Below are 27,737 nucleotides of genomic sequence, written 5' to 3'. Positions count from 1 at the left end.
TCCCTGAAGATCCCATTTATATTGAGGCATTTTGGGGGTTAGGAAATATACTGGAAATTGACCCGATGACAAATTTACACTGCAAGTATGTATAACGGGATTGGATTTCTCTTACACTATCTTTTATTCTCTCAAGACTTTCCTGGAGCCCAGGCAATTCGCTGAAACTTCCTCTTATTGAAAGTGTAAATAAATGTTGTTGTTTTTTAGGAATGGCAGTCTAAGCCTGATATACAAACTGTAGCTAATGAAACAGTAGCTACCTGCTACCAGAGTAGAAAGCTGTAACTAGGATAACTGGATGGAGCCCTGGCCACATGTGAATTGCCTGCTGAGGTTACACTCATTTTATCTTTGTCAGATAAAGATGGAAATTGGACAAAACAAATAAATATTTATTTACATGCAAATATATGGGGGTTTTCATATGTGTAGTTAATAGATTGTTTCCAGGTTCATAAGAGGAGGTTATAAAATATTTAGCAACACATGACTTCATGCCAACTATGATTTACTGAGAAATGAAGCGTTTCTTGGCAACCATCATAGCACGAATAAAGATTTATGACAGTGTATCTACTTTGTGTGTTTGAGGAGTTAAGGCTGATAAATGGGCTGAAAATAGTCAACTCATTATTCTCATATTCATAGACTATCCAAAAGTGATATAGTTACTGCTTCCTCACTAAATCTTAGATGGGAAATCTCATACTTCCCAAAAATCCCTATAAAGAAAAGATGACTATTGTATTTAAAAGGGCTATATAATAACCATATAATATATGTTTTATGTTTTTTAATATATTTTGCAGTATATGTGGTTCTTTATTTCCACATTATTGCCATATAAACCATTTCTGTCAGCTGTCTTTCCCATGGTTATGAAGGTCATCAAAGCTCGTCATTACCTGGCTCCTGTATTTTAGGACACAGGTCCAGCCAACTACGAGAGGGCTTTTGGCCATTTTTGCACAGATGGGCTTATATATAACCAGCCAAGTAATGATACATTCATTGAGCACCAGGTGTTGGTGATGAAAGGAATGTTTGCAGCTAAAAAATATTGATAACTCTGTCCAACTTGAGTTTACCCTCATGTATTTTGGTTTGGGAATGGTGTTTCTATCACTAACTGCTGGTTTTCTGAAAAGAAACTAGATTTGTACATGTAGAGTGAGGAAGAGTATTTCACAGTCACCACAGAATAGCAGGTGCCTGATATCACTTAGTATGTTCTGAGTAGACAGATTGACCCAACTGATTGGAAAAGTGTAATATGAGTAACAGCCACCATGCCTCTACCACAGTGCCTTGAGAGATGCCATCTAGCTGGCTGGTACTGAGTTAGGTGACTGGGGAAAAGAAATTTCTTGCTTATGTGATTGAGTCCCCATGTAGGAAGGCACAGAGACACTGCACAAAACCCACAAGTTGTAAATGATGTCCAGTTATGTGGAATGGCTTAGATCAAGTTCCCAGCCGTCCAGAGGAATTAGCAACAGAACCCCAGGAGGCTGATTTTTATACCTCCTGTTCTAAGGAGAAGGTTGTAGTTTGTACCTCTCAGTAACATAAAATTAATGTTTTCCTAGGCTTCCACTGCAGGGTAGAAATAAATTTTTTCGCAGAAGTCACTATATTTAATGAGTATACAGATCTATGTATATAAGGAAAATAACTTCATTTAATGCACCAAGAAGTAGAATGGAATTGTCTATGGAATAGAGCACGTTGCGTCGAATGTGCTAGCCACCTAGATCTCAGTTTATTACGTATTTCATTGTACATACTTATTGTCATTCGAGAACGCAATTGAAGCTTGCTCTTTTATGTGTATAGAGGTAGACTAGGTTTGCAAGATTTATGGGTCATTTCAGTTGTGAGCTAGCTACCCGCTGATATGAGTCCAATGTCAAGGGGCACATGTAAGTGGTTGGGTTGTTTTCAGCGTGATTTCCTTTTGAAGCATGATGATTTAGGTGCTTTCTCCATGTTAATTTAAAAAAAAAATAAAACGTTTTTCCCCTAGAAAATTGTACAACTTAATCATAAACTTCTCCTGTATCTAAAAATATATTTTGGGGGTAGGCTGTTTTTCATACTTATACTGTTCCCTTCACATATACTAACTAATGCTGAATAGTGTTGTTATCTATGTAAATATAAAAGTATTGAAATAGCAATACATGTTAACGTAACTATTAAATTTATAACAAATAGAGAGTCTGCTATTCTTCATTTAATTAGCTGAAATTACTTATACCAGTTACATGTAAATTTGATTAAGAGGAGCTAAAAATTGGGGAAAATAAAGACGCAAATTAATTTCAGTAAATTTGGAATACCATTAGAGATTACAGTATTATTTTTGATGGATCAGTCAACCACATTTTGGCAAATCAGCCAAAAAGAAAATAAGCGGGGTTTAAAGTAAAGTATGTAGATACTGCTGGCTTGAAGAAACATATAGGAACCTTTTATTTGGGTCAGTTCAATAAAGGTCCAGTAACCAGAATGGGATTAATGTTCACCTTTGACTTTGGAAAGGTATTTGTCCAGTGCCTGGCTTATTTTGCTTAACATAATGACTTCTAGTTCATCCAGGTTTCTGCAAGCATAGGATTTCACCCTTTTTGTGGCTGATTAGTACTCGTGTGTATGTGTGTGTGTGTGTGTGTACACACCACGTTTTCTTTATCCATTTATCTGTTGGATTTACACAGGTTGACTCCATATCTTGACCTATTGTGCTACAATAAACATGGGGGTACAGGTATCCCTTTGATATGCTGATTTCCTTCCTTTGGATAAATACCTAGTCATGGGATTATTGGATCATATGGTAGCTCTAATTTTGGGGATTTTTTAATTTTTTGTGAAAATGGGGTCTTGGTATGTTGCCCAGACTTGTCTCAAACTCCTGGACTCAAGCAGTCTTCCCACCTCAGCCTCCCAAAGTGCTGGGATTACAGGCGTAAGCCACCTTGTGCTTTTAGTTTTTGGAGATGCCTGCATACTGTTTTCCAGAATGGCTGTACTAATTTACAGGTTACAACAGTGTATAAGAGTTGCCTTTTCTCCACATTCTCACCAACATTTGTTATTTTGTGTCTTTTTGATAATAGCCATACTGAGGTAAGATGATATCTTATTGCTGTTTGGACTTGCATTTCCTTGATGATTAGTAATATTTAATTTTTTTTCATATACCTGTTGGCCATTTGTATGTCTTCTTTTGAGAAGTGTCCATTCTAACCTTTTGCTCACTTTTTGATGGGTTTATTTGTATTTTTGCTTTTGAGTTTTTTGAGTTCCTTGTGTATTCTGGGTATTAGTCCCTTGTTGAATGAATAGTTTGGAGATATTTTCTCCCATTCTACAGGTTGTTTCTGTTGATTGTTTCCTTTGCTGCACAGAAGCATTTTTGCTTAATATAGTCCCATTTATGTACTTTTTATTGCCTGTGCTTTTGAGCTCATGGCCATAAAAATCTTTGCCTAGACCAATGTCCTGAATGTTTTCCTTGTTTTCTTCTAGTAGTTCTATACTTTGGGGTTTTATGTTTAAGTCATTCTGCCTTGATTTTTGCATATAGTGAGAGATAAGGGTCTAGTTTCATTCTTCTTGTATACATCTTGCCTAGCACTTTTTATTGTAGTGTCCTTTCTCCAATGTTTGTCATTGTTACCTTTGTTGAAGATGGTTGGCTGTAAATACACTAATTGATTTCTGGGTTCACTATTTTGTTCCATTGCTCTATGTGTATGTTTTTATACCAGTACCCTACTGTTTTGGTTACTATAGCTTTGCAGAATATTTTGAAATCAGGTAGTGTGATGCCTCCAGCTTTGTTCTTTTGCCCAGGATTGCTTTGGCTACTCAGGGTCTTTTGTGGTTCCATACATATTTTAGGACTGTTTTTTTTTTTTCTATTTCTATGAAGAATGATATTGTTATTTTGATAGGGATTGCATTGAGCAGTCATTTTAACAATATTAATTCGGTCAATGAGCAGGGCATGTCTTTCCATTGGTTTGTGTCATCTTCAATTTCTTTCATCAGTGTTTTGTAGTTTTCCTTGCAAAGGTCTTCTACCTCCTTGGTTAAATTTATTCCTAAGTAGATTTTTTGGTAGCTATTGTAAATGGGATTGCTTTCTTTATTTTTTTTTCAATTAGTTTGTTATTGGTATAGAGAAACACTATTGATTTTTGCATGTTGATTTTGTGTCCTCCAACTTTACTGTATTTATTAGTTCTAAGAGTTTTTTGGTGGAGTCTAGGTTTTTCTGTATATAAGATCATGTTGTCTGCAAAGAGGGACAACTTGACTTTCTTTTTTCCAGTTTGGATGACTTTTCTTTCTTGTACCTGATTGACTTGGCTAGTACTTTCAGTACTATGTTGAATTGGAGTAGTGAGAGTGGGCATCCTAGTCATGTTTCAGTCCTTTAGAGGATAGACGTTCACCTTTTCCCCATTAGGTATGTTCCTTCTATGCCTAGTTTGTTGATGTTTTATCATGAAGGAATGTTGAATTTTGTCGAAAGCTTTTTCTACATCTATTCAGATGATTATATGGGTTTTGTCCTTCACTTTCTTTTTTTTTTTTCTGCACACCATGCTTCTATATGTCCTTCATTATCTTGATGTGATGTATCACATTTATTGATCTGTTTATGTTCAACCATTCTTACATCCCTGAGAAAAATCTCACTTGATCATGATATGCTATTTTGTTGAGGATTTTTGCATTGATGTTCATAACGGGTTGCTATAGTTTGGATATTTGACCACCCAAATCTTATGTTGAAATTTCATCACCAATGTTAGAGGTAGGGCCTAGTGGGAGGTGTTTGGGTCATGGGAGCAGTTCCTCATGAATAGATTAATGCCCTGTCTCAGGTAAGGGGCTGTATTAGTTCTCATGAAAGCTGGTTGTTTAAAAAAGAGCCTGGCACCTTCACCTGCTCTCTTGCCTTCTGTCATGTCACATGATCTCTGCACATGCTGTTTCTCCTTTGCCTTCTGCTGTGGTTGGAAGCAGCCTGAGCCCTTCACCAGAAGCAGGTGCTGGCTCAGTGCTTCTTTTACAGCTTGCAGAACCGTAAGTCAAATAAACCCCTGTTCTTTATAAATTATCCAGTCTCAGGTGTTCCAATATAGCAAGACAAATCGACTAAGACAGTGATCTTGGCCTATTCCTTTCTTTTGTTCTTGTATCCTTATCTGGTTTTGGTATCAATGTAATGCTGGCCACGTAGAATGCATTAGGAAGAATCTCTTCCTCTTCACCTTTTTGAAATAGTTTAAGAATTGCTTTTAGCTTTTCTATATAAATTTGATAGAATTCTGCAGTTAATCCGTCTTGTCCTGGACCTTTCCTTGTTGGGGGACTTTTAATTACTGCTTTAATCTCACTACTCATTATGGGTCTGCTTAGGTTTTCTTTCTTCCTACTTCATTCTTGGTAGGTTGTATGTGTCCAAGGTTTATATATTTCCTCTAGATTTTCCAATTTGTTGGCATGTAGTTGTTTATAATAGTCTCTAATGATTCTTTGTATTTCTGTGGTGCTAGTGGTAATGTCTCCTATTCGTGTATGCTTTTTTTATTTGAGTCTTCTATCTTTTTTCTTGGTTATTCTAACTAGTAGTTTGTGATTTTTATCTTTTTCAAAAACCAAGTTGTTATTGTTGTAATCCTTTTTACATTTTTCTTGTCTCTATCTCATTTAGTTCCACTCTGGTCTTTATTATTTCTTTCCTTCTACTAACTTTGGGTTTCCTTTGTCCTTTCTTTTCTAGTTCTTTAAGGTACATTGTTAGGTTGTTAATTTGAAGTCTTTCTACTTTTTTGATGTAGGTGTTTATTGCTATAAACTTTTCTCTTAGCAGTACTTTTGCTGTATTTCACGGGTTTTAATATATTACATTTCCATTTTTAATTCTCTCAAGAAATTTTTTGGTTTTCTTCTTAGTTTCTTCCTTGACCTAATGGTCATTCAGGAGCATGTTGTTAAATTTCCGTGTATTTGTACAGTTCCCAAAGTTTCTCTTGCTATCATTTCTAGTTTTATTCTGTTGTTGTCTGAAAAGATATTAATATCTGATATGATTTTGATTTTAACAAATTTCTTGAGACTTCTTTTATGTCCTAATATATGATCTATTCTAGAGAGTGTTCCATGTGCCGATGAGAAGAAAGTGTATTCTGCAGCTTAATAATATGTTCTGTAGAAGTCTGTTAATTCCATTTGGTCATAAGTGCAATTTAAATCCAGTGTTTCTTTATTTTCTATCTCATAGATCTATCCAGTGCTGAAATAGGGGCATTGAAGCCCCCAACTGTTGTATCAGGGTCTATCTCTCCCTTTCAATCTATAATTTTTTAAAAAATATATCTGGGTGCTCTGCTATTGGGTACACATATATTTAGAATTGTTACATCCTTTTGCTGAATTGATACATGTTTCATTATATGATGATCTTCTTTGTCTCTCTCTCTCTTTTTTAAAGACAGAATCTCACTCTTTTGCCCAGGCTGGAGTGCTGTGGCTCGATCTCAGTTCACTTAAACCTCTGCTTCCCAGGTTCAAGCAGTTCTCATGCCTCAGCCCCCCTAGTAGCTGGGATTACAGGTGCGCCACCACCCCACTCAACTAATTTTTGTATTTTTAGTAGAGATGGGGTTTCACCATGTTGGCCAGGTTGGTCTCGAACTCTTGACCTCAAGACTTCTGCCCTCCTTGGCCTCCCAAGTGCTGGGATTACAGGCGTGAGCTACCGTGCCCAGCCTTCTTTGTCTCTTTTTAGATTTTTTGACTTGTAATCTGTTTTATCTGATGTAAGTATAGCTACTATTGTCCACTTTTGGTTTTTATTTGTATGGAATGACTTTTTCTATCCTTTCACTGTCATCTTTATGTGTTTTTATAGGTGAAGTGTTTTTCTTGTAGGCATCATATAGTTGGGCCATTTTTTTGTTGTTGCTTTGTTTTGTTTTGTTTTTTGAGACGGAGTTTCACTCTCATCACCCAGGCTGAGTGCAGTGGTGTGCTCTTGGCTCACTGCAAGCTCCACCTCCTGGGTTCAAGCAACTCTCCTGCCTCAGCCTCCTGAGTAGCTGGGATCACAGGTACCCACCACCACTCCAGGCTAATTTTTTGTATGTTTAGTAGAGATGGACTTTCACTGTGTTGGGCAGGCTGGTCTCAAACTCGTGACCTCAGGTGACCCGCCCGCCTCGGCCTCCCAAAGTGCTGAGATTACAGGCATGAGCCACCACGCCTGGCCAGTTGGGCCATTTTTTAAAATTCATTTAGCCATTTATTATCTTTTATGGGGGAAATTAATCCATTTACATTTGAAGTTATTATTAATGAGTAAAGACTTATTTCCATCATTTTATTAGTTGTTTCTGGTTGTTTCGCATATGCTTTGTTCCTTCTTTCCCTTTTGTTGTTTATCATTGTGGTTTGGTGGTTTTCTGTAATAGTAGCATTTGAGTCCTTCATTTCTCCTTTGTGTGTCTGCTCTACCATTGAGTTTTGCACTTTTGTGTGTTTTCGTGATGGTACATATTGTCCTTTTCCTTCCAGATGTAGAATTTCCTTGAGCATTTCTCATAAGACTTGTCTAGTGGTGATGAATTCCTTCTGTTTGTGTCTGGGAAAGACTTAATTTCTCCTTTCTTTTTGAAAGATAGCTTTGTTGGTAGAATATTCTTTCCTAGCATGTTTTTTCATTCAGCACTCTATATCATCCTATTCTCTCTTGCCTGTAAGGTTTCTGCTGTGAAATCTGCTGTTTGTCTGATGGGGATAGCTTTATATATGACATGACACTTTTCTCTTACTGTTTTTAGAATTCTGTTTGTCTTTAACTTTTAACAGTCTGACTCTAATGTTCCTTGAAAAAGACATTTTTGAGTCGAATTTATTTGGGATTCTTGGAGCTTTTTGTATCTGGATGTCTAAGTCTCTTGCAAGACTTGAGAAGTTTTCAGATATTATTTTGTTAAATAGGCTTTCCATGTCTTTGATCATCACTTCACCATCTGGAACACCCCAAATTCCATTTGTTTGCTTTGTGGTGTCCCATATATCCCATAGGCTTACTTTATTTTTTAATAATTTTTTAAAATTTTTTAACTGGGTTATTTCAAATGATCTCTTTTCAAGTTCAGAATTCTTTTTTCCTCTCCCTGATCTCATCTTTTTTTGAAGCCCTCAATTGTATTTTTATTTCATTCATTGAATTCTCCAGATCCAGGATTTTTGTTTAGACATTTTTAAAAATATCTTTCTCTTTGTTTAGTTTCTCATTCAGATCATGAATTGTTTTTCTGATATTTCGTATCTTTTATTTGTGTTCTATCATATCTCATTGAGCTTTTTACAGTGCCTCTGATGTAGCAGTTGCTTCTTCCAATTTTATGGATTGGCTTTTTTAGAAAAAGACTACTTTTTTCTACAGATGTATTTATAATGTTGCTTTGGTAGGTCACCTTGGCTTTGATTCTAGCTGGGCACAGCAGTGTAATGTCTCAATGATTTCTTCAGCTGTAATCAGCATCAGTTGTGTCTGTGATCTCTTCAGTGGCTCGGGCAGCACTTGTTAGTAGAGGTTGCAGTGAAGCTTTTGTGGGGACAGGGACACCAAGTGGGCTGGTCTTCGGGCACAGTGGTGGCACCAGTGGTTTGGGTATGCCAAACTTTGGGCCTCCAGATAGTCTGCTTATGTGCTGGCAGTGGTGGCAGTGGGCTGGGAGGGCAGGCTGGTCCTTGGGCTCCTGGGTGGTGTGTGGCATCATTCATGGCAATAGTAGTGGCAAGCCACATCTCTGGTTCCTAGTCAGCATATGCAGGCACCAGTGGTGGTGGTGGCAGGGTAAGCAAGCCAGTGCTCAGGCCTCCAGGTGATGCATATGGGTAGATGGCCAGCAGTGGTGATGGCAGCCGGCTGAGTGGGCCCATCCTCAGTCCTCTGGGAGTTGTGTGTGAGCCCTGGTGGTAGCAGACAGGGAGGGTCGTTCCCCAGTCCCACAGTCAAAGTATGTGGGCACCGGCAGGCTGAGCAGGCCCATCGTCAGGGCCCTGGAAGGTGCTCATAGCCATTAATAGCAGCATGTGGGGCAGATCAATCCCCAGGTCTCCAGATGAAGCATGCAGGCACTGTCAGTGGTAGCATCAGGTGGGGCAGTCCTGTCCTCAGGTCCCCAATAGTGTGTGTGGGTGCAGGCTGTGGCGGCTGGGACACATTGGTCCCCAGGTCCCCATATAGCATGCTTGGGTGCCAGCAGAGGTGGTGGGGGGTGTAACTGACCTATCCTCAAGCCCCAGATGGTATGCACAGGCATCAAGGACAGGGCAGACCTGTTGACAGGCCCTGCAATCATACACAGTTGCCAGTGGCAACAGGTATGGTAGGTTGACCCCCAGGCTCCCAGTTGATGGTATATCCACGCACTGGTGGGAACAGCAGCAGGAAGGCAGACCTGTCCTCAGGCCCCCTGATGTGCATGGGCACCAGCTGTAACGGGTAAGGCTGTTTGATCCCCAGGCCCTGGATGGTGTATATATATATTTCCAGGCACTATGAAAGTAAGAAAGGAGTAAGTGTTTATTTCAAAGTGTCAGGATATCATAATCTTCACATATCCATCAATTTAATTCATGCTATCTAAAGCTTAAAAGAGATGTGTGTGATTATGTCCATAGTGAATCCAAATCACTTGATCAAACTTAGAAGCTGTTTGTACTAAAGCTCATTGTATGTCTCCTAATGCTATACCTAATGTTAAATGATGAGTTAATGGGTGCAGCACACCAACATGGCACATGTATACATATGTAACTAACCTGCACGTTGTGCGCTTGTACCCTAAAACTTAAAGTATAAAAAAAAGATAAAGCTCATTGTAAATATTTTTTTAAAAATCAGCTAAATTAAACATGATAAAGACAGCTACCATAAATTTGATTAAGTAACTTACCAAACATGTTATAATAATCAGGCAGTCAATGAAAATGCTCTGTAGTACTGGTATTATCCATTGGGTAGCTTTAACCCACAGAAGATCTTTTCTGCAATTTTTTTTTGGGTTCCGCTTCTCTGTGTTTATGATTTATATATTGATGTCCTCACTGTCGTGTTCATGGCTCTGAGCTTTCACTCATGATTTCCATTTTATTAATAGGTTTTCTCTGTTTTTACTCTTCTTTTTTAGCTTTTAATTAAATTTTAAAATTCTTATATTCTCAAGTTATGTTTAAACCTGATTGAAACACTTTATTGTGTCCTAGTTATGTTTCCTGAAAATTTTTCTTTTTATTTATTTATTTTATTTTATTTTATTTTGTTTTTTTGAGACGGAGTCTCGCCGTGTTGCTCAGGCTGGAGTGCAGTGCGGGATCTCGCCTCATGCAACCCCTGCCTCCTGGGCTCAAGCGATTCTCCTGCCTCAGCCTCCTTAGTGGCTGTGATTACATGCGCGCCCCACTACACCCAGCTAATTTTTTGTATTTTTAGTAGAGACGGGTTTTCACCACGTTGGCCAGGCTGGTCTCAAATTCCTGATCTCAGGTGATCCGCCTGCCTCGGCCTCCCAAAGTGCTGGCATAAGCCACCATGCCCAGCCCTGAAGAATTTTCTTTAGATTAAAAAAAAAATTTTTTTTCCCCTTTGGAAGAACTGACTCTTCCTGACTTTTCCCCAACAGTGATGGAAGGCCGGGGCCACCAACTTTTCTCTCCTGGTGGGGGCATGAGCTGTACAGGAGTCTTTTGCCCTCACACACAAACTGTGCCCATAGATGCCATCGCCTGAGAATTGTTCTATAATGATAAGCCTGGGCTAAGAGGGAGCATCGTTCACTCTAACAGTTCCTCTTCTTGCCTTGTGGGATGTTTCTTTGTTTTTACATATGCCTCTTAGCAACCGGATGATGCTGCACTATTTGCCATCCTCCTTCTTTGCCTCTCCAACACAGCATACATTTCTCAAAAAATAGAGGAGAGATAAACAAATAAATAACTTTAATGGTGTCCTTATGACACAAAAGGTTTGATGTTATTTAACTTATTTTAGATGCAGTATTAATTGGACTCCGAAATTTTTCAGTCAATCTATGTAACATCAGCCCTTGATATCCACAGCTTCTGCATTTTTGGGTTCAATCATCGGCTGAAAATATTCAAAAATAAAAACAAAAAATAACACAATATTTAAAAACAAATTTAAAAAGTAATGCAGTGTAACAACTATATACTCAGCATTTACATTGTATTAGGTATTCTACATGATCTGGAGATGATTTAGAGTACACAGGAGGATGTGCTTAGGTTATATGCAAATACTACACCATGTTATATCAGGGACTTGAGCATCTGCAGATTTTGCTGTCTGCAGGGGGTTTCTGGAACCAGTCCCTCCTGGATACTGAGGGATGATCATATGTATAAAGCACACATGTCTACGCCCATCGATATATATTTTACATAAGTAGGATGGCTGGTTGAGTTTTTAATTCTTCCATTGGTTATCACTTGTACTGGCATGTTAAAAGAAAAAACTCAGTGTAACATTTATTTTCCAGTTTTATTCATCTTAGTTTTCCGGTATATGGTTTATAGGTAAATTTACAAATTACATTTTATTTTCTTCTTTTCCTAATGAGGAAATAAAGTAAATATATAGAATGTGAGAAAGTATTAAATTGTGTTAAGCACTTGCCTTTGCCCAGTTTATCTTGAGTGGAATGTTTATGATGGCTTGTGCTGCCTGCAATAAAGAAGACACGAATAAAAAGAAGCTTTAAATTCTACTTGCTAAAGAAACAAGGACTTTTGAACGAAAAAAGTTTAGATTCCAAGTCTAAAGTCATTTAAAATGTTTTAAAGCTAGGCTGTTTTTTTATTGCTCAATATTTCTTTTTGCTCATAGCCAACAAACCAGTTATATTATCATTTTGTGAAGTATTGCTATCAAAAGGTATGTTTCTCTTGCACTTTCCCTGCCTAGACTGGACACTGTGAAGTTGCTGTGGCTGCATTTCTCAGGTCTGGCTGTTCCGCTCTCACTTGGTCCAGGGAGTGGGGGGGATTTTCCAAATAAACAGCACAATGGATTCAACAGCAGCAGTAAATGTTAGGAGGAATATGTAGGTGACAGAAGCTCTCGTCGCACCTGACTTCTCAATGAAACCAGTGATGAACCCTTCCAGTACAAAAACTAAGTGAACTACACCTCCAGCTGTTGAGCCCTCCTAGTTCTCACCCCACTCCAGCTCTTCCCCTCTCTCAGTTGTCCCAATTGTAACTCAAAAGATGGAATATCAAAGTCTTAAAAAAAAAAAAAAAAAGGACACTGCAGACTAACCAAAGAGCAGGGAGAGAACAGAGTGAATTACTTAATTCCCAAGAATAGTGATGTTGGGGAGGGAAGACCTAAATTGGGGATTAGCTCAAGAGGGTTTTTAGCTTCACCTAGGAAAGAATTCAAGAACAAGCTGACAGTAGAGGAAAACCACTTTATTGAAGCAGCAGTGTTATAGCTCCGGTGGTGTTACAGCTCTGTGACTGCTTCTGCAGAGCAGGGCTACCCTGCAGGCAGAGAGTAGCAGCTCAGGGCAGTTCTACAGTCATGTTTATACCTACTTGTAATTACATGCAGATTAAGGGGCAGTTTATGCAGAGATTTCTAGGAAAAGAGTAGTAACTTCTGGGTCATTGGGTCATTGCCATGGAAAGGGCTGGTAACTCCTGGATGTTGCCATGGCAATGGTAAACTGACATGACACACTGGTGGATGTATCTTATGGAGAGCTTAGGCACCGGACATAATTGAGGACTAGCTAAAACAGGGACAGGATCAAGGAAGGCCTCCAGGGTTGAAGATAGATACACTGAGGCCGAAAGACATCTAGGGCTTTGAAAGGCAAAATGAGTGGACAAAGCAGAGGAAGAAGACAGATCCTGCTGAGCTCAAACCACAAGCAAGGGGCCAGAGTGAAGGGGGGAAGTCCAGCCCCTCCTCAAAGGGTCTCCATGGCAGGCCAAGGGAGAGGTGGGCAGGTGAGGTGGGAGGCAGTGAGGCAAGGAGGTTAGAAAGTCTACAAGGCCTTGCTCGGCCAGTGTGCTTGGCCTGGAAGATAATTAACCCAGACAGTGAAATGATTACATAGCTCGTCTACATTGTTTGCCATTGTTAATTAGAATAAGTGTTTTGCACATTTAGAAATAAATGTAAAATAATACTGTCTTCTAGAGACTCCCTAGAAAATGTTAGGAATATAGTAACTCATCTAGGGATGGTGAGTCATAAGGAATTTTCAAAATTGTGACCTGTCTCCTCAGTTTCTCGTAAATAATTACCAGCTAACACATGTTCGTTTATATGTCCTCTCCTGGAGGTCAAATCATGGAGTCGAACACTCGGTGGTGGGAGATTACAAAAGGAAATATTCCATGTTAACAACCAGATATTTTAACATCTTATTTATCTGAGCACAAAAGCTGGAAAGCTTGGCCTAAACATGCAACTAGCAAATGTTTTGGGTGCCGTTATGTTCTTGAAGCTGACATATTATGAGAGCATGTGAAACCTTTAGCTTCTAAAGGAGAGAAAGAACAGCTAGAATAATAAATGTTCTTTTATTGTCGGGCTAGGCTACAAAATTGAAAGGGAAGAGATATGCTCGATTTATAAACTGAGCAGATGACATCGCATAAGTCACTGCGATTATGTTGAGGTGAGACAAGTTACAATCTCCAAACGTTTGTTGGAATTGGGAGAGAAATGCAGGGGAAGCTGGTACCACACCAGAGCCACTAGTCCAAAACCTAAGGAAAGAAAAAAACATGGTTGCTGTGTTGTGTGTAATCCCGATCCAGTTTCCCCTGAGATGGCCATTCCTGCCCAGGAATGAGTCAGAGGTCAGGGAGGGCTGCTTCATCTGGCCAGCAGGGTCCTCCTGCTCACTCTCAGGGAGGCTGTGCAGCGTGGAACTTTGACAACTGTCCCATAGTTCTAAAGCGTTTGGAGTCAGGGACCCTTCATGAAATGCTAACAGCAAGATCATATGCACAAGTAAAGAAATAGCAACAAACATAGTGGAAGCATTTGCTCTGAAAAATTCCCCAGTGATAGATTATCTAGGGGACAACGCCTAAGGTCAAAGCTTTCTCCAAGATAATAAAGATAATAAAGGAAAATCCTTGTTTTGCAGTCTGACAGATAATATGGAAATCAGTCTTGGAAGTGCCTATGGGCACTGCTAAATTAAAGAATGAAAAACACAGCCAGGGATTAGGGTGGCTCACACCTGTAGTCCCAGCACTTTGAGAGGCAGGTGGATCACCTGAGGTCAGGAGTTCGAGACCATCCTGGCCAACATGGCAAAACCCCATCTCTACTAAAAATACAAAAATTAACCCAGCATGGTAGCACACGCCTGTAATCCCAGCTACTCGGGAGGCTGAGGCAGGAGAATTGCTTGAACCCACGGGACGGAGGTTGCGGTGAGCCAAGGTCACGCCTCTGCACTCCAGTCTGGGCAACAGAATGAGACTCCATCTCAAAATAAATAAATAAATAAAAATTAATAAGTAACTGGGGAAACATCAGGCATAGCTGGATCCAGGGTACAAGTGATCTCTTTCTTGGAGACTGTCTTTCTCTCATCACTTTTTCCTTCTGAGCACCGGCTTGGTTCTCAGACAGGTATCTCATTGTGGTCACATGTATGAGCCTGTTTTACTCTGACCGCTGAGGCCAGAGCTGCCTGTTCACCCCTGGGCTGGGGAGGGGAAAAGGAGGTACAGCCATCTGAGCTTATTGGAGCAAGTACCTTGAGCTGGGAAAGAGAATATTAGTTTTCCTAGTTTTCACGCATTTTATAAGGGTCAGTAATGACTGCAAACCTTTTATTTTATTTTTTTTTTTTTTATTATACTCTAAGTTTTAGGGTACATGTGCACATTGTGCAGGTTAGTTACATATGTATACATGTGCCGTGCTGGTGCGCTGCACCCACTAATGTGTCATCTAGCATTAGGTATATCTCCCAATGCTATCCCTCCCCCCTCCCCCGACCCCACCACAGTCCCCAGAGTGTGATATTCCCCTTCCTGTGTCCATGTGATCTCATTGTTCAATTCCCACCTATGAGTGAGAATATGCGGTGTTTGGTTTTTTGTTCTTGCGATAGTTTACTGAGAATGATGGTTTCCAATTTCATCCATGTCCCTACAAAGGATATGAACTCATCATTTTTTATGGCTGCATAGTATTCCATGGTGTATATGTGCCACATTTTCTTAATCCAGTCTATCATTGTTGGACATTTGGGTTGGTTCCAAGTCTTTGCTATTGTGAATAGTGCCGCAATAAACATACGTGTGCATGTGTCTTTATAGCAGCATGATTTATACTCATTTGGGTATATACCCAGTAATGGGATGGCTGGGTCAAATGGTATTTCTAGTTCTAGATCCCTGAGGAATCGCCACACTGACTTCCACAATGGTTGAACTAGTTTACAGTCCCACCAACAGTGTAAAAGTGTTCCTATTTCTCCGCATCCTCTCCAGCACCTGTTGTTTCCTGACTTTTTAATGATTGCCATTCTAACTGGTGTGAGATGATATCTCATAGTGGTTTTGATTTGCATTTCTCTGATGGCCAGTGATGATGAGCATTTCTTCATGTGTTTTTTGGCTGCATAAATGTCTTCTTTTGAGAAGTGTCTGTTCATGTCCTTCGCCCACTTTTTGATGGGGTTGTTTGTTTTTTTCTTGTAAATTTGTTTGAGTTCATTATAGATTCTGGATATTAGCCCTTTGTCAGATGAGTAGGTTGCGAAAATTTTCTCCCATGTTGTAGGTTGCCTGTTCACTCTGATGGTAGTTTCTTTTGCTGTGCAGAAGCTCTTTAGTTTAATTAGATCCCATTTGTCAATTTTGTCTTTTGTTGCCATTGCTTTTGGTGTTTTGGACATGAAGTCCTTGCCCACGCCTATGTCCTGAATAGTAATGCCTAGGTTTTCTTCTAGGGTTTTTATGGTTTTAGGTTTAACGTTTAAATCTTTAATCCATCTTGAATTGATTTTTGTATAAGGTGTAAGGAAGGGATCCAGTTTCAGCTTTCTACATATGGCTAGCCAGTTTTCCCAGCACCATTTATTAAATAGGGAATCCTTTCCCCATTGCTTGTTTTTCTCAGGTTTGTCAAAGATCAGATAGTTGTAGATATGCGGCATTATTTCTGAGGGCTCTGTTCTGTTCCATTGATCTATATCTCTGTTTTGGTACCAGTACCATGCTGTTTTGGTTACTGTAGCCTTGTAGTATAGTTTGAAGTCAGGTAGTGTGATGCCTCCAGCTTTGTTCTTTTGGCTTAGGATTGACTTGGCAATGCGGGCTCTTTTTTGGTTCCATATGAACTTTAAAGTAGTTTTTTCCAATTCTGTGAAGAAAGTCATTGGTAGCTTGATGGGGATGGCATTGAATCTGTAAATTACCTTGGGCAGTATGGCCATTTTCACGATATTGATTCTTCCTACCCATGAGCATGGAATGTTCTTCCATTTGTTTGTCTCCTCTTTTATTTCCTTGAGCAGTGGGCAAACCTTTTATTTTACTTTTCAGGAATCACTTTTAACATCTTCTTTAACAATCTCCCTTTTGCTCTTAAAGTTATAAACATCAAATTATGGCTGAGTGGCATTACACCTGGAATAAACTTCAAGGCACACTGAAGAACTTACAATCAGGCAGAGAAGGGGCGGATGTGGGTTGTTATATTAGCCAACTTTTGTTTTAAGTTAGACTTCTTGAAGACATGTACCATAAACTGACAGCCTCCTTCTCAGCAAAGTTGTGACATGGTTTTGCTTTGTGTGGAGTATATTGATTTTCTTTCTCCTGATAAACTTTGCACATCATCTAGAGGCTTTATTGACATCTTGAGAGAAAACAAACTTGTAATTGAACATGGTGATAGACTCATTAACTTTTTAGGTCTGATCTGTTTGACTAGGTGTAACTTAATTGTAAAACTGGCATTGTTAATTTAACAAAGTGTACATTTATTATATAGTCCTCCAGTTTGCATAGTTACTTTGTATCAGAACTGATAAATTCAGTTACTGGGTTTATGTAATACCCAGTAAGTCGAACACTTCAGTATGAAGGCTAAGACACAATAAAGAAGTCACAAGATAAACAGGCTTTGCCATGGCTATTTTAAAGGCTTTTTTTATGTATTAGGTAGAGAATGTTGTGGTTATGCTTTATCTGGCATTTTTTGGTTTGTTTTTGTGGAGTTTCTGTTTGTTTTTAAAGACAGGGTCTTGCTATGTTGCCCTTGCTGGTCTCAAATTCCTGGGCTCAAGCGATCCTCCTGCCTCAGCCTCCCAAATAGCTGGGACAATGGGTGTGTTCCACCCTACCCAGCTGACATGTTTTAACTTAAAGAAAATTAAAACTTTATTATTAAGATTAATAATGAAACCTCTGCATGGATAGGAAGACTTAAAACTAGTAGTTGTGTCTTAGAAAAGAATCTGTATCTCACTAACGAGGAACTATTCTAGCCTGGACAGTTTCTGAGGAGAGAGTAACTGGGGAATATCTGTTGCTGTTAGCTACAAACAGGATTTTAGGTTTGTGAGAGGCATTTAGATTGATTTGAAGTGACAGGCTGTCTGTCTTAACTTGGTAACTGTGAGAATCTTTCTGATATAGATGTAAGATACTTATTACGAGTTCATCTCATAAGCAGTAACCACAGCCCTGTATCCTGTTAATATCATCGGAAAATTTGGATGGATAGTCTTTTGACGAGTATAGTTGAGTTTAATCTCAATATACAATGTATATTTGTGTGAGTATTTCTGTATCTTCAATACATATTTCACAACAATATCTGAATGTGTATTTTTGTTTTTAGTGGAGGCTGATTAGAATGTGTCACCACTAACAAAGGGTGACACTTGGAGAATTTTGATCTCACACAGGGTCCACCTCGTGGTGGTGCAGCAGTCATCTGCTGGTGGCTTTCAGACCCAAGCCACCTTTTCCCCCTCTCTGCTCTGTAAGTTGGGGCTGTTTCTGGAGATGGGAGGGCCAAGAGAAGGCAGAAGCCAGGGGCATTTCTCCCTCTCTCTCTAGGGGACATCTCTGGCAGTGGCTTCATCCCATTCATTGTCAGACTCCCAACCAGATAGCCCAGCTGCAGAGCTGTGGTGACTCCAATACCTTCTCCCATTGTCCTCTAGCCCCAGATGGCAGCTGTGCAATAATGACGCTAATCTCAAGTGGCTTCCTTTCTCTGTTTAGTTCTTCTGTGCTTCCACTCCTCTATAACTAATCTCATTCAATTCCGTCAGTTGAACTACCTGGTGTGGGCCCTGTTTTCCTAACTATACCCTGAGCCATGCAAATAGCTATGCAGTTACGTGTTAAGTACAAACCCTATACCCTTTGCAACCTTGTTAGTGGAAAGTGTGTGTCCCCATTACTTTATCAAGAGAAGGATAGTTTTTTTTTCTTTTGGGAAATATTAACTAAGAAGGATTTGGAGACAAGAATGGAATTTAACTCTTTGTGAAGATAGATACAATATTTCGTTTGGAAAACATAATTGTTAAACAATATCTATAAACATAAAATTTAGGATGTTCAATAAAAGCTATTGGAAGGATCATGGGTAACTAAGTCAGGTCTTACTGCTAATGATTTTTTCAGATTTGACCATATTAGGACTGTGATAAGCAGGGCTTTCAAGCCAGTTGTCATCTACCTTTATAGTAATTTGAAATCTATCAAATTGTATTTGGGTTTGGCTAATTCGCTTCTGATCGTAAATGTGTTTATACAGTTGGATTCTTGGTGTCAATCTAATTTTCAGATTTTGCTGGGCTATTTATTCCATTCTTCTTGCTCTAGTTTTCCTCTTTGTGAGTGGCACTGCTTATGAGTCATGGGTGAAGGGACATAAGTGAGCAGGAGTGGCTTCCAGGAATACCACAGTCCAGTTGACATCTTCCTGCTCTTCTCCCCTGGTCCCCCTTTGATTTGTATGGGTCTGATGTGATTTGGAGGGTCAGGCTTCGACAGTGAGGAGGAGAGGGCAAGTGAGTTATGATGAAAGAGAAGAATGGAAGGAAGGGATCACAGCCTTGTCCAGAGAAATGGTAAAAGCATGAGTAGCCTTTCTAAGAACTTGAGGAATACAACTTTGTTGGGTTTTCCATTTAATACTAATGAAGTGGAAAACGGTCCGGGCGCAGTGGCTCTTGCCTGTTTTCCCAGCACTTTGAAAGGCTGAGGTGGGTGGATCACTTGAGGTCAGGAACTCGAGACCAGCCTGGCCAACATGGTAAAACTTCATCTCTACTAAAAATACAAAAAATTAGCCAGGCATGGTGGCACACACCTATGATCCCAGCTATTCAGGAGGCTGAGACATGAGATTTGCTTGAAACTGGGAGGCGTAGGTTGCAGTAAGCCAAGATCGTGCCACTGCATTCCAGCCTGGGTTACAGGGGGAGACCGTGTCTCAAAAAAATAAATAAAGTTGAAAACGCTTATGGCATTTAACAGTGTCACAATATAAAGCCAAGCACATTTTCTAAAGCCTTATTTTTTTCAAGTATAAAATCATTTAGGCTATCATTTGGAAAAACAAAAACAAAAAACTGGCCATTTGCTGTTATAGATTTTAGCTCTCTTCGCTAATTAAGGTTTCCCAGAAGTGACTATTGGTATACAAATGATGTGAGTAAGCCCCTGGGAATTATAGCTCCTGGTTAGGTGGGGGAATCTTTCTGTAGCTGATTTATCTGTGAACTACCATTTGTAAGAGGTGGGGTGGGCCGCTCTGAGACTCAGTTTACCCGCCGTAAAGGATTCTGTTCCAGCCACACTAGAATTGACAGCTGGGCTTCCTGATGAAGAGGACACTGCCCGGCTGCTCCCCCAGAATACTCTGCTTCCCTAGTGACCGAGAAGCAACTTCCCCGGCCAACCCCTGCACACGCTAGAACTCAAACAATGCCACCTTGAGCAGCCTTGCCTCAGGCATAACCACTGTCGCTCAGCACAGCTGGAGATGTTTCTTGGCCACTTGGCTTGGGCCCTGCTATGCCCCAGTGACCTCACAGTGGTGCAGTGGTGCCAGCCTTCTGACCAGCCTTCTTGGACTCCAGCTAGAAAGCTTTCCTGTCTTTGACTTTTTTAATTTTTTAAACTGAGTAATTAAGAGAAACAAAACAGAATTCAGAGGCAGTTAATCCCAAAGAATCATGCCACTGTCTGTGAGATGACACCCATGTGTGAACAAGCCATCTCAGACACCCAAGGTGGAATTTTCGAAAAAGGCCCTTCTCACTTCTATTGTGTGTTCCTTTATTGTCTGCTGGTTTTGAATACAGATTGGAAGTGTCAGAAAAGACTTCAACAATCCAGCCCACTGATTGTACAGGAGCAGAAATGACCAGATCGGCCGGGCACAGTGGCTCACACCTGTAATCCCAGCACTTTGGGAGGCCGAGGCCGGTGGATCACCTGAGGTCTGGAGTTTGACATCAGCTGATTAACATGGTGAAACCCCATCTCTACTAAAAATATAAAAAATTGGTTGGGCATGGTGGCACATGCCTGTAATCCCAGCTATTCGGGAGGCTGAGGCAGGAGAATTACTTGAACCTGGGAGGCAGAGGTTGCAGTGAGCCAAGATCGCACCATTGCACTACAACTTGGGCAAAAAGAGCAAAACTCCCATCTCAAAAAAATAAAATAAAATAAAATAAAATAAAATACAATAAAATAAAATACAATAAAATAACTGCAAATTAGCCTGCAAGAAAAGGTGTTATTATTGAGAAGCAATTCTCCATGGGTCTGTCATTTGTCCGCTCATCTCTGAGGGAGACACCAACTTGTTCTGACCCATCTTTTCAAGGAAGTTTTAGAGCAAATGACCTTGAAAGTAGAGAAGATAGGGCCGGGCGTGGTGGCTCACACCTGTACAATCCCAACACTTTGGGAGGCCAAGGTGGGCAGATCACGAGGTCAGGAGATTGAGACCATCCTGGCTAACATGGTGAAACCCCGTCTCTACTAAAAATACAAAAAAGTAGCCGGGCGTGGTGGCGGGCGCCTTGTGGTCCCAGCTACTTGGGAGGCTGAGGCAGGAGAATGGCGTGAACCCGGGAGGTGGAGCTTGCAATGAGCCAAGATCGTGCCACTGCGCTCCAGCCTGGGCGACAGAAAAGACTCTGTCTTAAAAAAAAAAAAAAAAAAAAAAACCAAAAAAACAGAAAGTAGAGAAGATAATGTTTCTCTCCAGATCAAAAGGCAGATTTGCTTATTATGCAGTATAATAAAGACAATGTTTCCCTTCAGGATGAAAAGATGACTTGCTTAGAACTACTTAAAGAAGATTTGAGTTTCCTAAGTTCAGAGTTCTCATTTGTGATGCAAAACCACTGCACCTGTAGAATCTGACTTAGCCTATCTACTTCAACCCTGAGAGAGACGTGTGGAGGGGAACTGGTGTAATATGATGCTCATGCTTCTTTCTCCCTGTGCTCTGAGTTCTGCAGTCCTTTGTCTCTGATCCAGGAGTCTCTTGTCTTCTGTCAGCTTTTATGATACTGCAGCAAACTAACTTGCTAACTTGCAAGCTGGGTAAAATCCCACATTCTTCACAGTTCTTGCCAGTTATTCTAGTACTACAACAAAAACATTCTTTCATAAAAATTGGTGGAGAAAGCACTGAAATTTACTGTTGAGGCATACATATTTAATATAGGGTTGGCAATGTGAGTTTTAGTTTTATCAACACTATATGTGTTACTAGAATTTTTCAACTATCTGTAATTTCTTAAACCATTATCTATAAACACCTACCCCCAATAAAAAGGCTTTTATCTGGCTGAATTTTATCTGGTGTTAGAACAATTTGTGATTTGTTAGCTGAATGTCCACTGCAGCTTTCTGTAAGCTAAGAAAAAACGTAAGTGCTTTCTATCTATTTATCTGTATATGAAATACTTTTTCAATAGTCCTGCCAACTCAGCTGTTTTGGAGGAATTACTTTATGTTTTGAAAGAGGATTTTTTTCATGTCTGCAAAAACCAGTCGTAGCTAGCTCAGCGTATTTCATAAGGGTCAGTCATGTCCTTCAGACTTTTCGTTTTGGTGTTCAGACATTGTTTTAAATCTCTTTCTCAATACCCTTGAGCTGGCCATTGAAGGATTTGTCACATTTCAAAAGATTGAGTAAAAGGAATGGGATCCTATGTTCAGGAAAACAAAACATAACCAAACAAAAACATCAGCCAGCATGATTTCCATGCTGCTGTGGGGAAGGTCCTGGACTCATGGGCAGGACTCCACAGGCATGCCTGAGCCTGGGCCCATCACACACACTGGACATCCTGTCCACTCCAGCAAGACTCCACACACATGCCTCCATGGGCTGAGGACTGCAGGTGTGAGGACCGGCTGATATTCCACTGCCCCAGATAGGATAGGTTTAGTTAACTAAATTATACCACCTGGGATTGGTGAGACTTGTAGTGAAGAATAGCCTGGGTTCCAAATCCCTGGCTTTGGGATACTCTCATCAAAATGGCACACTCAGCCAGGCACAGTGGCTCACACCTGTAATCCCAGCACTTTGGGAGGCCGAGGCAGGTGGATCACTTGAGGTCAGGAGTTCAAGACTAGCCTGGCCAACACGGTGAAACCCCATCTCTACAAAAATACAAAAATTAGCCTGGCATGATGGCGGGTGCCTGTAATCCCAGCTACTCGGGAAGCCAAGGAGGGAGAATCACTTGAACCTGGGAGGCGGAGGTTGCAGTGAGCCAAGACTGCACTAATGCATTCCAGCCTAGGCGATAGAGTGAGACTCTGTCTCAAAAAAAAAGTAAAATGGCACACTCCAGATTTTTGAGAGTCACATATTTTACGTAAGATGTAGCATTATTTTCAGACACGGTAAGCGACCTGCCACAGCAGCGGTCTTGCGAGAGAGTAACTAGAGTTTACTCACTTTGCCTCTGACATTGGTGGAGCTCAGGTTTCCCAAGTGTGGGCCCCTGAGCGGTAGGAACAACATCACCTGGCAAGTTGTTAGAAATGCGAATCTTGATGCCATCCCAGAAATCACAAAAATCCCAGGGTGGGTTCAGCGATCTCTGGTTTAGCAAGTCCGTGCCCCCTCCCACCCGAGTGATTCTGATGCACACTACAGCTTCAGACCAAGGGCTGTTGCTCATGGTGTCACATGTCAGAGGAGGATGAGGTTAGTAAATTATAAACAGGAAAAGAAGAAATCAAATGTTGCTGTCAAACGTATAAGGGGATAACATATAGCATTTATTAAATAAATGATAAATAACATTGATTAAATAGCGTTGATTAATCTATTGTTTTTCACTTAAGAAGTATATGTCAGGCTGGGCATATTACAGGCTCACACCTGTAATCCCAGCACTTTGGGAGGCCAAGGCAGGCAGATCACGAGGTCAGGAGATCAGGACCATCCTGACTAAAATGGTGAAACCCCGTCTCTACTAATACGAAAAATTGGCCAGGCGTGGTGGCGGGCACCTGTAGTCCCAGCTACTCGGGAGGCTGAGGCAGGAGAATGGCGTGAGCCCAGGAGGCAGAGTTTGCAGTGAGCTGAGATCGCGCCACTGCACTCCAGCCTGGAAGGCAGAGACTCCGTCTCAAAAAAAAAAAAAAAAAAAAAAGAAGTATATGTCATGCCTATCCTAATGTCAGTCACTGTTAGAATACAAATATGAATAAAGCATTCTACAAATGTCTCATCATGGCCTGCAGGGAAAAATCCAACTTGCCACATATTTTGTAAATAAGGTTTTGTTAGGACACAGCCACACCCATTCATTTGCATACTGCTTATGGCTGTTTTTAGCTACAAGGCCAAGTTGAGAAGTGTGACAAAGACCATATACCCTACAAAACCAAAAGCACTTAATGCGTAATATCTGGCACTTTACATCAAAGTTTGTCAATACCAGATCAAGTGTTTTAAGGGAAAATCCTTCCCACATTTCAGGTAGTTAAACGCAAGTGGAATTAGGAGTATGTGTGGTATGCAGGGGTTATTCTGTCATCCAGTAAAATATATGTATTTTTTTTTTCAGTAGCAAAAAATTTAGCTTCACAGATGTTAGTATCATGGAAGGCATGCAGACTGTGGGACAAGAAGTAAAGCAATTGCTGGCCAAACGCCTTGGTGTGTGAGTGAACAGAAGGAGAGTGAGAACAAATACAGAAGTTAGAACAGAAAAAAGTGAAGAAAAAACGTGGTTGAGAAGGGAGAATATTATCAATCAAAAGAACGTGACCTATGTGAAAAGCTAAAATGAGGGAGTATGTGGCAGGACCTGGCTGGGGAAAGGAACTAAGAAGCAGCAAGATACTGGATTGGAGCATTCCAGTTGCCTGGCACAGAGGGTGGGCGGCAGAGTCTTCGCAGGAATGCTGGGGTGTTGATGCCAGGCAGAAAAGGGGCAGACTCCAGATGGGGCTGGGAGAGCCATGCTCTGCTAAACTCTCGGCTGGAATTTAGTGGGGTGATCTCAGCTCATTGCAACCTCAAGTGATTCTCCTGCCTCAGCCGGGCTCAAGCGATTTCCTGCCTCAGCCTCTCGAGTAGCTAGGATTACAGTCATGTGCCGTCATGCCCGGCTAATTTTTGTATTTTTAGTAGAGATGGGGTTTCGCCACATTGGCCAGGCTGGTCTCGAACTCCTGACCCCAGGTGATCCGCCCGCCTCAACCTCCCAAAGTGCTGGGATTACAGGCGCGAGCCAACGCGCCGGGCCTCTGCTGCACTTCTGTGTCTACCAGGAGTCCATGTGTACTTGTGTGGCTATTTACAGTAGGGCTCTCTCAATTCCTGACTCCGCTAAATGACTAACCATGTAGTGATACTGGAGAAAAAGCACTGGATTTCCCTGCGGGGAGCTTGGGTTACTTCTTGGCTTCACCTCTTACTGTTTGACCCGTGGGCACCTCATTTCATGGCTTCACGTCTCCCTTTCCTCATTAGTGAGAGGCTTCCTCCCACCTCCACATCGTGTGATTCTTCTAGACTCACTTATTATCATCGAGGGGCATGGCTTAAAGAAGGTCACAGCGTATTTCTCCAGCTCCCTCGCTTAAAGAGCAAAAGAATAGCAGAGACTCAGGGCCCTTCTAAAACAGAATTGTTGACCACTTTGGCACAAGGTCATCCGTTCCTGGGAAAGGTTTGATGCTGATTTATTTCCATCTCACACCTCGTAACAGATTTCTTCTCTTGTCCAAAGAGATTGTTTACTGTGGAAACATTTAGAGGAAAAATGAGCAGCCGGGATCCATGTGTGTGATCATATTTATCTTTCTTTCAGGAATTTTTCTTTAAATGTGGAGCACACCCCACCTCTGACAAGGAAACATCAGTAGCTTTGCACCTGATCGCAACAAATAGTCGGAACATCACTTGCATTACGTGCACAGACGTCAGGTAAGGATCTAAAAATAGTGTCACTTCCCTCCACGGACGTGAGGTAAGGATCTAAAAATAGCATCACTCCCCCCTCCTTACTTTCCCAATATTGTTCTGCCACACGAGCCTTCCTCAGTGAACTCTCTTTCCTGGGGAGTGTCTGCTTTATTTTGATGCGTCTGCCCAATTTGGGTATATTTTAATGTGAGGAAACAATTTAAAATGCCAGTGACTTAGTTTAAGTAGGTAAATAGGGTCCTAAGATGGGAGATGGCATATCTAAAATAGTGTATGTAATCTTAGTTGATATTAAAATATAAGCTCACATATTTGAGTATAAAATGTAAACTCATCCATTAAGTTCCAAAATAAAATTAAAATATGGTGCTAACATTTAAAATGTTAACATTAGGCATGTGCCACCACACCCAGCTAATTTTTTGTATTTGTAGTAGAGACAGGGTTTCCCCATGTTGGCCAGGCTGGTCTTGAACTCCTGACCTCAGGTGATCTGCCCACCTCAGCCTCCCAAAGTGCTGGGATTACAGGCGTGAGCCACTGCACCCGGCCAGGAATGGAAAAAAAATTTATGAACACCACAACATGTAGCCCATACATTTTATTTTTAAAATGTCTTTTCCATACATTTCAGTTCTCCATATTTGCCTATATTTATGCTGAGGCTTCGCACACATTCATGCACTCAAAATGAAAGCAAGTAGCTAGTTTGGGACCTTGTTATTTCTAATCCCAGTGAACACAAGAAAAGCAAGCAAATGTGGAGATGGCCTGTTAGTAAAAAAAGGGAAAACGACTCAATACGAATTGCGGTGTAGGAGCCAAGGACAAAGTGGAAGAAACTGAGTCTGTTTGCTCTGCAGAGTAGGCAATTCAGAGTACAATTCCTTACTCTACACTTTCCGAATGGACAGAGAAAAGAAATTAGCTTCGTTACATGTTCTTTGAAGTTGGCTAAGAAGCTCAAATTGCAATAGTGAGAACTTAGCCCTCATATCAGGAAGAACTCTTTTTTTTTTTTTTTTTTGAGAAGGAGTTTCGCTCTTGTTGCTCAGGCTGGAGTGCAATGGCGGGATCTCGGCTCACTGCAACCTCCGCCTCCCAGGTTCAAGGGATTCTCCTGCCTCAGCCTCCCGAGTAGCTGGGATTACAGGCATGCGCCACCACACCAGGCTTATTTTGTATTTTTAGTAGAGACGGGGGTTTCTTCATATTGGTCAGGCTGGTCTCGAACTCCTGACCTCAGGTGATCCGCCCGCCTTAGCCCCACCAAGTGCTGGGATTACAGGCGTGAGCTGCCGCACCCAGCCCAGAAAGAACTTTTTAATGAAATGCCAAAATGAATTAATGAATAAAGTCAAAGAATCTATTGTTTCAGACTTTTAAGCAAAAATAGTCATATACCCTAATCATTTTAAGTGTTGTCTCTCTCTGGCTTTTGGAACTGTATTAGATGGTCTTTTAAAGTTGCTTTAAACTCTGTGATTTCGTGATAAGCAAATATTCACACTCCTATCAGGCTATTTCTATTCTCTAATAAATTAAAATTAAAATGTTGATTAATAGAAGCCCAAAAACCTTAACAGCATCTGTTGAACAAACCTGTTTCCAAGAAGGAATAAAAATGAGACGTGATTTTCTCTTTGCTGCATGTTTAGTCACTGCTGTGGCAGGAAGCACCACAACATTGCCTTTAAAATATAGCGCTTCAGCCTCTCTTGGCAAGGTGAATGACTGTGTATGGCTAACGCTTTCAACATGCAAGAAGAACAGCTAAGATGGGGATTCTGGTGTTTCGGGAAAGGGATTGAAAAGTGCTAAAAGCGAGGGCTTGACTGCGCTGATAGCAGCAGGTAATTTAAGTCACTGTTCAGTTTTTCAAAGGAAAAATTCAAAATACTCTTCTGTAAGTCAGAAAACAGCTCATCAGCCAGTATTTTAAACTTTCCATTAAGGTTGGTAAACATGACATTAAAATATGTGGTGATGATGGTATTATCTTACTAAGAGCGTTGCCCTCCCCGTTTCCTGCTGTTATGCTGTCACTTTCGTATTAATAACTGGCAACATCTTTCGAAGAGAATGAGCCACTTACTTCCCAGATACACAGGGTGATAATTGCTGGAAAAATAATATTGTCACATTAATTTTGTTCATATGATTGCCTTTGGGAGAATTTATAAAT

The 27,737-nt window shown here is 40.6% G+C and overlaps 1 protein-coding gene across 6 annotated transcripts in view, besides 2 other annotated features; it reads left to right on the top strand.

The window, feature by feature from the left end:
- PRKN (parkin RBR E3 ubiquitin protein ligase) overlaps window positions 1-27,737 on the top strand; it is a 1,380,350-nt gene that overhangs the window by 728,913 nt on the left and 623,700 nt on the right. For all 6 annotated transcript variants that reach the window (XM_024446449.2, NM_013988.3, XM_011535863.2 and 3 more), the window contains one exon: window positions 25,437-25,552. In XM_024446449.2, coding sequence (XP_024302217.1) covers window positions 25,437-25,552 — 116 coding nt within the window. The remainder of the gene's footprint in view (window positions 1-25,436; window positions 25,553-27,737) is intronic.
- Window positions 19,566-20,065: an enhancer, noted in NCBI's record as "H3K4me1 hESC enhancer chr6:162399821-162400320 (GRCh37/hg19 assembly coordinates)". NCBI's record gives its function as "activates a minimal SCP1, AML or CMV promoter by ChIP-STARR-seq in primed H9 embryonic stem cells {active_cell/tissue: H9 hESC(primed)}" and the evidence as "EXISTENCE:reporter gene assay evidence [ECO:0000049][PMID:30033119]".
- Window positions 20,066-20,567: an enhancer, noted in NCBI's record as "H3K4me1 hESC enhancer chr6:162399319-162399820 (GRCh37/hg19 assembly coordinates)". NCBI's record gives its function as "activates a minimal SCP1, AML or CMV promoter by ChIP-STARR-seq in primed H9 embryonic stem cells {active_cell/tissue: H9 hESC(primed)}" and the evidence as "EXISTENCE:reporter gene assay evidence [ECO:0000049][PMID:30033119]".

Source organism: Homo sapiens, chromosome 6, assembly GCF_000001405.40.
Source record: "Homo sapiens chromosome 6, GRCh38.p14 Primary Assembly".
NCBI lineage: Eukaryota > Metazoa > Chordata > Mammalia > Primates > Hominidae > Homo > Homo sapiens.
The sequence above is the reverse complement of the archived record's forward strand: the minus strand, read 5'-3'. Positions and strand labels throughout refer to the sequence as shown.